The sequence below is a fragment of the Homo sapiens genome, chromosome 4, assembly GCF_000001405.40.
Source record: "Homo sapiens chromosome 4, GRCh38.p14 Primary Assembly".
Taxonomy (NCBI): Eukaryota; Metazoa; Chordata; class Mammalia; order Primates; family Hominidae; genus Homo; species Homo sapiens.
In genome coordinates this window covers 95212513-95226873 of record NC_000004.12, presented here as the reverse complement: position 1 = coordinate 95226873, position 14361 = coordinate 95212513, and the positions used below count along the sequence as shown (strand labels likewise).

The 14361-nt window shown below is 38.7% G+C and overlaps 1 protein-coding gene across 4 annotated transcripts in view, besides 1 other annotated feature; it reads left to right on the top strand.

The window, feature by feature from the left end:
* Positions 1-14361, top strand: part of UNC5C (unc-5 netrin receptor C) — a 386470-nt gene that overhangs the window by 322100 nt on the left and 50009 nt on the right. For 3 of the 4 annotated variants that reach the window (XM_005263321.4, XM_047416346.1, XM_047416345.1), the window contains 4 exons: positions 4608-4664; positions 6698-6889; positions 7561-7905; positions 10663-10750. In XM_005263321.4, coding sequence (XP_005263378.1) covers positions 4608-4664; positions 6698-6889; positions 7561-7905; positions 10663-10750 — 682 coding nt within the window. The remainder of the gene's footprint in view (positions 1-4607; positions 4665-6697; positions 6890-7560; positions 7906-10662; positions 10751-14361) is intronic. The other variant, NM_003728.4, reaches the window with a different exon arrangement.
* Positions 6731-7930: an enhancer, noted in NCBI's record as "CDK7 strongly-dependent group 2 enhancer chr4:96140095-96141294 (GRCh37/hg19 assembly coordinates)". NCBI's record gives its function as "activates an origin of replication core promoter dependent on BRD2, BRD4, P300/CBP, MED14 and CDK7 cofactors, with strong dependence on CDK7, by STARR-seq in HCT116 cells {active_cell/tissue: HCT116}" and the evidence as "EXISTENCE:reporter gene assay evidence [ECO:0000049][PMID:35650434]".

The following is a 14361-nucleotide window of genomic DNA, read 5'->3' as shown; positions in this document are numbered from 1 at the left end:
ACCAAATGCCAAAAAACAACCACCTAATCCTTATGACAACCAAAAAAAAACACCATCCCTACCCCATTTCCAAACACCCTCTTGAGAAATTGCATCACTCTTGGTTGAGATACCTTTTTACCATCAATTTGCACTCTGGCCTTGAAAATGTGCTTTGGAAACATACCACCATATCTTTTGCCAGAAGCCACAAAGGACAGGCATAAGCCTTTTTACATGAAGAGAGTGCAAGAGTCCTTAGAAGAGAGCATTGCATACGGCTTCTCTGAAAAACTGGGCTCCCTGTCTATGTAATAACTGGGGAAACAAATTCAAACGAGTTTCCTAAGATCACTCATTAGATAATAGGCTATGTTGACTCTACAGATAAAATCCCTTAAGGACCCAGCATCTTAGTATACCTTAGTAACGTGCATCATAATTATATCAATGTCATTGTTGGTCATTTCTTGATTACTGGCAATGTACCAGCACCTTACAAATCTCATTTATCCTTTCCACAGCTCTAGATGTAAGTATTCATATCCCCTTACACAGATTAGAAAACTGATACTTAGAAAAGTGAAGTAGTTCGGCAAAGCTCTCCCAGCTAAGTGGCAGAGCTAGGATTCAAGCTGATGTTCATGACACTGAAAAGCAGTGTACTGGCCCATGGCCTGGTGCTTTTCTTAGCCCACCTTACTTTGAAGTAGCAGGAAAGTTAACTGAAATCCCTAACTTTTGAACCAGGCTGTCGGTAGCAACCGAAAAACAATTATTTTGCACTGTGTTCCGCCGGAGATGTTATTTTTCATTATTGCTAGGACTACTCTCAGCAGGGTCACCTCATTAGCTGAAGAAAATGTTCCCTGTTGTTCCGTGAGAGACGGATCAGATGGAGAAGCATAAAAACAAACTCCAGAAAGTGATTCTGTGTTCCCCTCATTTAGGGGATGGAACAGTAATCCCCTTCTTCTCTGATTCCCAGCCTGCTAAGTGATGTTTTACTTCTGTAGTTGCAGAAGTGTTTTGAAAATGATGGAAAAAGTTTTACAGGGATGCCTTACATAACTTTTTATCAGTGTTTCCATAACAGAGTAAATTGGAGTGTCAAACCTTTGGTGAGTACACTTAATACTGGTCTGTTTTAAATTTTCCCATGTAGGAAAATAAGAGTTTGGCTAGATTGGTCCTAATTGCCTGTGAGGAATAACTAAAGTAAGTGAGACTTTGTAAAATATTTTTAAAATTTTTTAAATATTAAATATTTTAATATTTTAGAGTGAGGCGATATTTAATTTTTTTAATATTTTATTTTCATTCAGAACAACCTCAAATGCAAACACTTCATCAGTTATATTATACACCTATTGACAGATATCTCCCAAGCCATGTGTTATAGAAGCCATCTGTAAAACCCTATCACCTTGCTCCATTTGACAATCCATATCTATAGAAACCAAAGTGATTTTTTTCAAAATGACATTCGATCACAGGATATGCATTTCACTTAGAATAAAATCAAAACTCACTGTGGAGGCCAGGTGCAGTGACTCGGGCCTGTAATCCCAGCATTTTGGGAGGCTAAGGTGGGCAGATAGCTTGAGCCCAGGATTTCGAGACCAGTCTAGCCAACATGGTGAAACCCCGCGTCTAGTAAAAATACCAAAATTAGCCGGACATGGTGGTGCACACCTGTAATCCCAGCCACTCGGGAGGCTGAGACAGGAGAATCGCTTGAACCCGGGAGGCGGAGGTTGCAGTGAGCCGAGATCGTGCCATTGCACTCCAGCCTGGGTGACAGAGCAAGACTCCTCATCCTGGCCCACCAGGACGTGACCTGGTGCTGCCTGTCCTCTGACCCCACCTCCTCCCTTTCCTTTCTTGCTTGCTCCCCACCCTCTAACCATTCTGTCTTTCTGTCAGGACTTTCGTATTTATTGTCGTTTCTCATCAAGCACTTGCCTCCTGATCTTAACTTGGCAGATTCTTTCTTTTTTTCAAGCTCCAGGTCAAATTTCATCTCAATTAAAAAAAAAAAATTCTTCCTTAATTCCCTAAGTTGGCCATCCTGATATCTCCAAACACATTATGTTCTTTTGGTTTATTTTTAAAAGAACTTTTTTACTATTTGAAATGATCTTATTATTTTGTTTACTTGCTTATTTTCTGTTAAACTTCAGTAAAAACAGGAAAGTATCCCCATGTCTACAACAGAACCCAGAATATAATAAGGTTCAAGAGTATTTGCTAAACGGATGATGAATGAATGAATGAATGAATGAATGAATTCCAATTCTGTGCCTGGAATGAGATTGCAGTTTCAGATAAATACCATAAGGCACAAAACATTTATTGAGTAGTTTAAATCTACATAATATTTGTGAAAGTTGACATTCAAATCGAAGTTACGAAGTTATATTCTCTATTCTTGGTCTGCCTATCAAGAACAGGAATTCTGGTGGGAAGCAGGGACAAAAAACTCAGAACTGCTTTACAGGGAGAAATTTCGGACCACGTGATACCTAGCTGGAGATAGGCTTTCCTTTTGCAAGACGCAGCTCTTCTGCTTATTCAAGCAGGACCACGCTGATTCTTTTCTTTTTATTTTTTGAGACAGATCTCGCTCTATCACCCAGGCTGGAGTGCAGTGGCGCAATCTCTGCTCACTGCAATCTCCGCCTCCCAGTCTCAAGTGATGCTCCCACCTCAGCCTCCTGAGTAGCCGGGATCACAGGCACGCGCCACCATGCCTAGCTAATTTTTTGTATTTTGGGTAGAGATGGGCTTTCACCATGTTGCCCAGATTGTCTCGTACTCATGAGCTCAGGCGATCCACCTGCCTCAGCATCTTAAAGTTCTGGGATTACAGATGTGAGCCACCATGCCCGGCTGCCAGGCTGATTCTTACCAAAAGTTTCAGGATGAGCATCATAGCATTTGTAAACATGCCTTTTATACTCATTTCCTTGCCTCTTACCTGCAAAAATAAGTCTTTTGACATTCTTCTACTTAACATCATCACTTCCAGGAAGATGGCATTGTGATCTGGTCTCCTCTACTAGCAGTGAACTTGTTTTGTGTTAAGTCTTTGGGTTTTGAAAATAGAGCCTGTGTATGTCCCAGATGTCCTTTTATTGAGTTCACAGAATACAAATGGAAAAATTTTATTACCAGGCAGTGGTGTTTAAAAATGAAAATCAAACCTAATACATGGACTCAGACAACTAGAATAAGGAATATAATATTTATAAAACTGAGTAGGAGGTTGCAATCATTGCTCTAAAATAAGGCATTAAAAATGAATTCAGAGCAAACCTATCTGTGCTACAGCAAAGCTCTCTTTCATTAAGGTAGCACTGCATGTTTCTCCAGAATTAGTTCCCCCAAATAGGTAAATAGCTTGTAAGAACTGAGTGTTCGGCAAACTACGGAAGTGCTACCTGAGGCACGATTTAGAGTTGCTTTTAGTATTACAGCTTTATAGACCTTTCATTTTGAACCAGTTAATTGTGAAACTTGTTTTCCTCTGTTTTTTGCCCTTGAGTATTACTAGGAAGGTTTAATTCACAGGCTTCTTAGTCATCTTCATTTTATTAATCCAAATGGTGCTGTATCATTTGATTAATTCATATGTAGCAGAATAGTAAATCTTGGAGAACTGTGGTTACCAGTATAAGATATACTTTAAAACTTTCCATAGGTTTTTCATTTCAAAAAGTTTGTGTTGCACATATTTTAAGTGACTTTTCCCTATCTTATTCCACTTCACATTATTATCATTATCCATATTGCATTATTATTGTTAGTTTCCACCTTCAGAATACACTAAAAAGGAAGAGAAATAAAATGCTAGTGCTATTTCTGCATTTTTCTATTGAGATGAAAGTTTTTATTTTTCCCAATATACACCATTTCTCTGAAGCCCTAAAATAAATACCCTTATAACCTCTAGGCCCTATTGATTTTCTAATGATTTCAAATAAAAAGCATCCAGTTTCCATTGCATTGACAAACTGTTCAGTCCCTAGGCAAAACCTATCGAACTCCTATTAAATGAAGGGGGCAAGAAACAACAGAAAATCCAAAAAGTAGATTTGAGATGGAGCGGGGGAGAGGTGGTCTCAGCTTAGCTCAGTAAATGGGTACTTAACCTTTGACCAATGATGACAGGTCTTCTTTAGTTCTCTTAGACCAAGCACAAGCTGTTATGATTAAATAAAAAAGAAAAAAAAACTGTTTAGAGCCTTACTGAATATGTCCTGGGAATTAAAGCATATGGCAGGGATAAGGAAAAAAGATTTTCCTTATGCTAATGACCCCTGATGTCTGAAATAAATTAGATCCATTAGAGTTTATGCTCAATAAAAGAAAGACTTTAAGCACTCCAAAGTTAGTGACTCGAGACCAGTTTTTGCTCTAAAATTCAATCTGCCTGCTTATTAATTCTTAGTGAGGCTCCAGAGCAGACAGGAGATGCAAAATCATAATTTTATACTGAATCAGAATTTTAAAAGACCACAGGTTTCTTTTCCTTTTAATTAAACCATTTTTCATGCTTCCTATTTTCTTTCCCTCATTAATTTGATTTTGTTCCCATTTTTGTTTCATTTTTTTTTCTTTTCAAGGTTTCATTTATCCCATTTCAACTGAACAGAGAACCCAGAATGAATATGGATTTTCTTGTAAGTTTGATGTTTGGATTTTATGTTGCTGAATAATCATTTAACGTTATTGCCCCTAGTTCAAGTTTACCTTTCTTCGGATTACAGATGTGCACACAGGAAATAGGAGCCTAATATATTCTAACATGAAAAATAAATTAGATTTTTGCTGCTGAAGAGAAGAAAGGGTCATTTCAAGACTCTGCCAACTTTAAAATCTATCAGTCTACCATTCAAAGCTTGAGTCCCAGTAGCTGACAAAACATATCATGAAATGTGCTGATATAAGTAAAGGGCAGGGTTCAAATACCAAAACAGAAAGGGTTGAAAAAAGACAGATGGGTTGAGCTAGAAATCATGAATGTTGAATAAGTAACTATGACCTGGTAAAGTAAAACAATAAGAATTTAGATATAATATTCTGACCAGAGTTCAGAATCCTGCAGCAGTGCCTCAAATAAAACCCAACAGAGAAGTGAAGTAAGTACTTTGAAAGCAGCACTCACCCAATCACGAGTATTTGTGATATCACTGGTTTTCTGAAGAAAATTTGCTAACATTGACTTGATTGATGGGAAAGTGAATATTCTGGAAATGTTGGGAAGAAAATTATTTTTAAAAGAAAGCAAAATCCTTTTGGATACATTACATTTAAACACAAAATGCCAAAAGAGATAGAGCAATTCCCAATAAAGAATTCATTTACACTGCTAATATGTGAAAGATTCCATGACATTAGAGTGTGGGTTGTCTCATGAGCCACTGGCAAATGAAATGATGAGTTATTTCACCATGTAAACCATGTGGCTGTGAGCGTTAGGAGAGGGCCGTGGTTCCTCACATTTTAGGAGGTCATGGGACCTACAAATTGGAAAGTTCTCTCTCCCTGAAAAATGTACATGTATATAAAATTGACCATAAAATTCTAGGTTGTTCTCGACTACCTGAAGTACCAATTTAACAACCTCTTTTACAGTGAGTGGAGCAGCTTTGATTAATTTTGCTGAACATGTTTTTGTGCATCACAGAATACTAAAAACAGAGACTTAAAAATGTCAAAGGGGTCCACAAAGGTTTCATTTCATTTGTTTGTTTTAATTATCAGCTTCTATCACCTTTTCCAGTTAGATGCAAGCATGTTCTGTGCCACCAAGGCAACATGCAACATTTATAGGAATTCTGTTCCAGAAAAAAGACCTCAGTTGACTGACACACTGTGTTGGTCAAATGCTTATTTGCCTTCTGGGGTAGTCTGAACTTTCTGATCACTGAACCAGGCCTTTGTCTTCCTTAGTGCACAAGAGAGCTATATTTTATTCTAGTAATGAGTAGCTCAAATGTAAATCTCTGACAGGGGACCGTGAGAAGCTCAGGGTTCTCAGAGATAATACTGCATCTGTATCAAAGCCTGGACTTAGAGAAGGTTATCAGCATTAACCTCTGTCCCCCAGATCTGGGCCCTCTGAAAGCACACCTTTCAAATTTAATATGTTTGCTCCTAGTATTTGCTTTGCTTAGTTACACCATTCCCACCCACCTCTCCATTGATTTAGGGGAAAGTGAGAAGAGTGCTATGGAAAGTCATTTTATGACTTGGAGTGATACTTAGGAAAATATTCTGGTTCAATAAATATGCAGATTTAAAACATGCCAGATATTTCTAACAGTGTTTATGTTTATGTTTTTAAAGAACTATCAGTGAATTCAAAAACCCTTCCAAACTTTTCCACCTGAAATGAGTAATAAACTTTTTTTTCCTGTGGGTTGGGATGGTTTTAGTTCCAGTTTCTTTATATGCCTAGTAATAAACAGTCTGTTATGCTGCCCAATTATAAGATAGATTAGTGGGTGGATAGATGCAGAGTGAGAAAGGAAAAGAAATCAGAGACAATTTTCCACTGAAAGGCCACAGCCATTTTATATAGCTTTTGAAATAGATTTGAAATTAACCTATAAAAAAGGCAGTAAATGTCTGAAAAAATTATAGCAATACATATGTGTACTGTGGGAAATTTCTATAAGCAGCTGGTTCAATGTTTCACTCTCCTCTCTAGCTGCTCCTGATTCAGATGATGTTGCTCTCTATGTTGGGATTGTGATAGCAGTGATCGTTTGCCTGGCGATCTCTGTAGTTGTGGCCTTGTTTGTGTATCGGAAGAATCATCGTGACTTTGAGTCAGATATTATTGACTCTTCGGCACTCAATGGGGGCTTTCAGCCTGTGAACATCAAGGCAGCAAGACAAGGTCAGTTGACATTCCACTTCACACCCTGTTACTTATGCATGTAAGCAGTTTCAAAATCAATGACTTTAGAGTCATCTCATTCAGCTAGAATGTAAGCTCCATGAAGACAGCAATTTGAGTTAATTTTGTTCATTACTGTATTGATGTCATTTACATAACAAATTAGAGTTAACAAGATAAATCCTCTTTTTTTCTTTTCTGACAGATTGCTCTGTCACTTTTTAACTTCTAATCGAAAAGAGTACCCTGATTGGTTGACTGATTTCTTGAGTCTCTTTTTTTAACTTCCTTTGACAAGATATCTTGTATTGCTATGAATAGAATGATTTACCAATGAACCCAAATCCAGTATAGACCAGGGAAACCATAGCTAATCGTCACCTAGTGAGGCTCGTTGTTCAATCCAATCTGTTGAAATAGCCAAATACCTTGGGCATAATGAGTAGACATCAAAGCAAATTATAGAATGAGCTTGACCACTTACTTACAGCCAATAATAAAAGAGCTGGTAGTTATCTGATTGCCCTGTTTTCAGTAGAGCCTGTCTATCTATCTCCGATATTAGCTGAGCTGCTTTACTTTCGGCTCAGAAAGTGTGAGGGGGAGTCTGACTAATGTAGGTTGGCCTGAATGGAGAATGCCAATGGGATTATTTTCTCTTTCTGACTCAGATCTGCTGGCTGTACCCCCAGACCTCACGTCAGCTGCAGCCATGTACAGAGGACCTGTCTATGCCCTGCATGACGTCTCAGACAAAATCCCAATGACCAACTCTCCAATTCTGGATCCACTGCCCAACCTGAAAATCAAAGTGTACAACACCTCAGGTGCTGTCACCCCCCAAGATGACCTCTCTGAGTTTACGTCCAAGCTGTCCCCTCAGATGACCCAGTCGTTGTTGGAGAATGAAGCCCTCAGCCTGAAGAACCAGAGTCTAGCAAGGCAGACTGATCCATCCTGTACCGCATTTGGCAGCTTCAACTCGCTGGGAGGTCACCTTATTGTTCCCAATTCAGGTAATTCCTAGAGGTTTAAATTGCAAAGAGGCAGCTTGAAACATATTTTTCCATACCAAAATCTTTTTTGTTCGTGGGATGTTTTCATTAGGCCTGAAATGTTAAATGTGACCTATCCAGCCCAAATCTACTTTCAATGTAAACAGAACATTACTTCAGACAAATCAGCAAAACCATTTCTCTTCCTCCAACTAATTCTGAAAACACTTCCTCTAGAAATTCTATACTCACAACTTTCTGCTGAGGTGTAATTTAGAACCATCATTGACCTCCTTTTTACTAGAACTTCAGAAGGCAACATCAAGCCACAAGTCCTAATGTTGTCATTATACTTTAAAAGGACGAATTAATTATTAAATATATCATTTGATTAAGTTCCAATTTACTACATGAAGCAATAATACAGAAAACAAATTTTTTGATCATCAGAGGTATCATAATAGACATCAAATCTTCATTTATTAACCTAACTTGATCACACAGTCTTTCACCTCACAGTATTGATAGTGTACACTGTACTCACTCCTACCTCTGATATTTGTATCCAGAATCACCAGATTCATCAGGTGTGCTTTTGTACTATTACTTGGTTTCAGTTTATTATGTAGTTTCTCTGCATCTAGACAATAAGCCTCATAAAGGTCTTTCATGGTGAATGAAGGTTAATGCCTGATACTGTTGGATTAAAAATCGATATTCATTAATCAATATTAGTAATGAGCTTGGAACCATGGGTCATAAAAGGGTTAATGGCTTCCTCTCTAAATCTATCTAATTCTTTTGGGCAAGGCTGTGAGTATTTTGTAAATACAGTAATACCTAAAATGTAAATACCTAAAGTGTTGTCACATTGAAAAAACATAATATGTGTATACTCAAGGAATATACAGACCAAAGAGTCTTCAGGCCTGAATATGAAATTTTATTTGATTCTTCCTGTCATTCACTCTTTCATTTCAATGCCTTGGCAACTTTTACCCTAAACCTTTAAAAGTATATTTTAACAAAATCAAAACATTTAATAAAATATTTTTTTCTTCACAGTTTACATAGCTGAGATCATGTATTATATAATGTTTTCCACCCTTTTCTCATTAATCCTCATGCTATTGCATGCTCTTTAAAATCATGATTTTAAATATCTTTATAACAGTCCATTATTGAATGAATCAAAACATACTTTAAGGTTCTTCCATTGTTTAAACATTACAATTGTTCTCAAAATAGTTCTTTTCCCTCTGAAATGTATTGGATTCTGCCTTTTCTTCCCATTTCTACCTACCACTTTTTCATATGTGCATTATTATAAAGGCCTCTTAAGTGGAAGGGAGTGAGCTAGCATGTTTTAAATTCTTCCTATGTATTAGGCAATGGTGATCAACATATGATATTTTATTTAATGGACAAACAATAGTTACCTATTACTTTATATTCATAATGCTGTTTCATCCCTATAACAAAGATTAAGGTATGTTTTATGTTTTCAATGAAAAAAATAAAAGCACTGAGGCTTGGTAGCCTCATGTGTGATCTTCCTGCTGTGTCCTCCACAAATCATTCTGTACATTGACAGTCCACTTCCTACAACACCAGGGCTCTCACATTACTCTCCTTCTCAAGAGGTCTGTGGCTCAACATCTTCAACCAGTTACATGAAGGCCTACTACCTCTTAACTCTCCATTCTTTTTTCTTGAGACTTTCCAGTGTGGTCAGGCAAGTTTTCATATTGCCCCACGCTCATTTGGCATATTCCATTTCCTCGCTAATTAAATTATGAATTACTCAAAGACAGGAAGACTATCTTTTCCTTTTTGAAATTCACAACAGTGTCAAACACTGTACTCACAAGGATGCTTCATAAATTTGTATGGAGCTGAAGGAAGCTGGATTTTAGGGGAATCAAATGATGGAGCCAAACATCTTTGGAGTGCTGTCCACACTGAATCACTCTTTGTGATGATGAGCAGTGGTGTGGGCCCCAGACCATCACCATGGGCATCACCTGGCAACTGGTTGAACTAAAAAATCTACCCCACACCCCATATCTCTGAATCAGAAACTCGGGGTAGGGACCAGTAATCTGTGGTTTAACAAGCTTTCCAGGTGGTTCTGACCTGAGCTCAAATTTGCAAGCCACTGCCACAGCAGACACAGTTAGCTTAGAACACAGCCCAATCTAATAGTTCTGCCAAAGGGCACCGATTAGCAACTAACTAGAAACGCTTTGACCTGCTGTGACTAAACTAGGAGTTAGTGTTCACTTTCTAGAGTTATGTATAATAAAAGGTCTTCACCAATTCTTATACCATTGTGGAATTACATTGATGCTAACCGGATATTTAAAAAATACATGTTGTTTTTTTTTTTATGTTGAAGTTGGCATTTCCCTGACTTTGAATCTTGTGGGGATTTTAAAAAAAAATGGAAATGATGCATCATTACAGCTGTTTGAAATTTTGAGCAGTTGTTGGTTTTCCCCTTGTCTTGCAAGGAAAACAACAGTGGAACCATCTGTCTGTTCCTCAAATAAAACAAGAGTTTAAAAAGTTACATCATTCCTTTAAGTAATTGCATAAGAGTTCAGAGGGAGCCGTGGTAAGGAGGCCAATGAGGAAGGAAAATGGAGCAACTCGGAATATTTACATGTCTTTAGAGAAAATGAAGCAGGCTTATGGCTGCGCGGTCACAAAATCTCCTCATTCCCTTTTACGTGCTGCAAAAGTCTTAAATGACTGCTTTTCTCTTTTGCTATTCAGGAGTCAGCTTGCTGATTCCCGCTGGGGCCATTCCCCAAGGGAGAGTCTACGAAATGTATGTGACTGTACACAGGAAAGAAACTATGAGGTAAATATGCTTTTTCTGGTGCACTGACTTTACCAATGTCTAACTTGGAGGAGAATTGTACAATAGACACAATAAACCCAACATATTTTTGTCTCAAGTGCCTTGCTTCTGGCATACATTCTTTTTCCCTTGACCTACAAAAGGTCAGGTTTTACTTCTCTTTGTCTTTGAGGCTCCAGACGCTTTTGCAGATCTTGAATATGGGTAGAAGGCTAGAGATCTTTTCCCAAGTGGACACGTTGCCATATTTCCTGGAAAAATGTCCAGAAATGTGATCCCTAGATTGTCCAGAGAGACAAGTGGGTAGACACAGAGACGTCGACTTCATGGCATCTGGCTCAGGAATCCAGCCTGTTCCCATTACAGAGTCAAAGGTCACAAAGGATTGGACAACTCCTCCAATCCCTACCGCTCCCACTCAGCCTAGCCCTTAATTCTGACCCACGATTCTTCCTTTTGTGACTGTCTTCTAGCTTAAGTATTACTAATTTCCTTCTTATGTTTAACACTTATAAATTCCACATTAGGCTGTTCAGAATGGGTCTAGGATTGATTAAAACTAGATTGAATTAAAAGGTTTTGTTTAGAATGTTTCATAATCATAAAGAAGAAGTTATTTTAAGTAAAAATAACAAGAGGCATTGAGAAGTCCTAAATTCAATTTTCAGTTTGGCCTCTAACAAATCGTATTGGGTATTTCTTGATTAGTTTCCATGTAAAATGCGTGTGTTAAATAGTGCTTTAGAAGCCTGATTAATGCTTCTGAAGTACACCAAGATCTTAAAATGAAAGATGTTGTTAAAATGGAGATCCTCATCATGTAATTATCATTGTTTTTCCCAAGGGGAAGAGCATCGGCTCCTCAGCCCTGAGCTCTGAATATAAAGCATGAGTGACAATGCAGAACTAGGTTATCATTATAACACATTATACCTTTTCTTTTCCCAGCTCTCATCCTCAGAAAAACGTCCATTTTTAGCCTTGTTCTTCACTAGCCATAAAGCTTTTGTATTATGCTCTCAGGTGGAGATACTGGCATTTATAATTGGTGTGACCCAGAACATTTTTTTCCTCGGGTGGTGTACTTCCACCTACATAAATACTAGCCTGTCTAAGAAAATAATACAATTCTTGAGCATTATTCATGCCTTAAATTTGAGCAACAGAAAAATCACTAAAAGGCTTGTATTTACCCACATCAAATATTCATTTTTTTCATTCCCAATGCAAAGCAACATTCACAGGCCCTCAAAGCTCCCTTCTTTTGCATCAGGAGAAAAGAAGATCAGCAAACTCCAAGATCTCTTTATTTTATTTTATTTTTCTTTCTCTCTTCCAGAGTCAAGGTTAGCATTAAGTACATCTATCCATCAAGGCCTTTGTCAGCGTGGACATTTTGTTTAAATAGAAATAAGTATTGGCTTGTGCTTTATGGTGAGAAACAGTAAGATGCCTGAGCTCTCCTATTTTCCATCAGATTATCATTATCTGCAGCTGAAGATCAAGCCTTAAGGGGCTGCTGCAGGCACGGGCTGAAGCTGAAAGAGGTGTGCACTCACGTGCCTGCTCTCCCCATACTTTCCTTGGCAGCCGAACCAGGATAATTGTACATTTTAGATGAAAGAAAGAGAAAACAGAAAATTGATAAAGCTAGACACTTTTCTGCTGTTAGGGTTCTCTGCCTTTGACTATAATGAAACGGAAACTATAAATCACTCCTTGCTATGCCTACCATCTGAAGTTAGGTGCAGAGGGAATTACTCTGTTGAATTTGGTGTGCATAAAAGAAGTTCTGTTTATAAAAATGAAGCTAGGAAAACCTCAAGATCTCAAAAGAAAATATGCACTACAGACCATGAACCAAGAAACAAACACAGGAGGATAACAGTTTCAGATAAATGAGAAGTCTTCTCTTCACTAGTTTTCTGTTATGAACCAGATGCATTTTTATTGTAAAACACAATGGCAAGAATGTGCTTTAGGATATAGTCATAAAACAAAGCATCCCTGCCCTTCATCCAGCAAACTCTTAATTTCATTTACTTCTCACTACGTTCTGCAAGCTGTGATGAGCTCCACTTTAAAGATGAAGAAACTGAGGCACAGGGGAATTGGGTTCCAAAGCCAAGGTTTCAGTTAGTACCTTAGCAAGGCAGAATTCAGACTCAGGCTTTTCTGATCACAAAGCACTTTCTGCTTCCTAATGTGCCATCCTCCTCCATTGCACCAATGCACAAACCAAACCTCTGCCTATGTATTACGGTGCATTTTTGGATACACTTTCTATTGCTCACTAAAGATCCTTTCTATCCACACATGATACAAGACAGAACTTCTTTGGAAGAAGACTCTGTGAGGACATCAGGAGCTGTGATGTTACTATGCATTCGTAGGAAAATTCTGAGCATTTTTCTCCATTTTCCTTCTCTCTGATTACTTTTATTGCATCCCAAACTGGGTATGTTTCCAGCTGGATGGTATCCAGCTGGTCATCTGCGGATGTGAATTGTCTGAAGGGAGGCGTGAACTTAATTACATGTGGCATAGTGAATGTGACAAGAGGGGTCTTATCATTGCTGAATATGCTCTAAGCGAAAGTGCAGGCTGGCAGCTGAACAGCCTGAATGAGCCACAGAGATGGGACAAGCGGTCTCTGACCAAAGAGGGTGCAGAGCTGCAAGGCTGTGCTCAGGATTTCTACCTCTCCTGCTTTACAGATCTCTGGAAAGGCGGCGACGCCTTTGTTTTCCTGGTGGATACAATTTCCACAATTAATGCTGCTAACATGGGCCTTTTTGCCTTGTTTCTAGTAGCAGTTTGCACAAATGAACCCGACCTAGACTGAAATTTTGTTCTTTATTGATTCTTGTTGGAAAACAATTGGAATTGAAGATATGAAAGTTGATTTTCCCTTTTCTCTGCATTCTGTACTCACCTAGCAGTTTTATCAAAGGGTGAAGAAATCAATTTAGAAATTGCAAATACAAAGGTAAATAGAACACCCTTTCTGTAAACCGCAGGGAGCCATGGAAAGTTTCTGAGCAGCTGAGTGACGCAGGAATAGCAGCGCTTTTTAAAGATTGATCCGGTGACAGTGCATGGAATGCATCGGTGGAGGGAACAGAAGGACTCGCCCAGAAGGCTTGGTGCCTGGGTGGGCCCTGGCAGTAATGCAGGTGTGAGGAGAGAGGAGGAGGAGGAACCGGGCCGGAGGGTGAGCCAGGTCCCAGTCTGAGAGAATGGAGAGGGTATGGAGAGAATCTATTTCAGAAGAGAAAGTATTTCACAGCTGGCTAGAAGTGTTGCAAAGGAGGGGCAGAACACACAGAATAGATTCAAGAATCAAGCCTGGGGCACTGTGACAATTGTGAGAAAGGTGAGAAGCAGCAGTGGCTCCAGGGGAGAGGACAGATTCCAGTTTGGATGCGTTCAGTGTGAGTGGGGATGTGGATTCCTGCTAGGGACGTGGAAGTGAAGTCACGGCAAGGAAGGAACCTCCAGCCGAGAAAATGCAGAAGCAGAAAGAACTGGGGAAAGAACTTTAAGAAATACTCCTGTGAAGGTTTGGGTGTGATGAGAGAAACTAGATAGAACATGTAAGGATAAGGCAA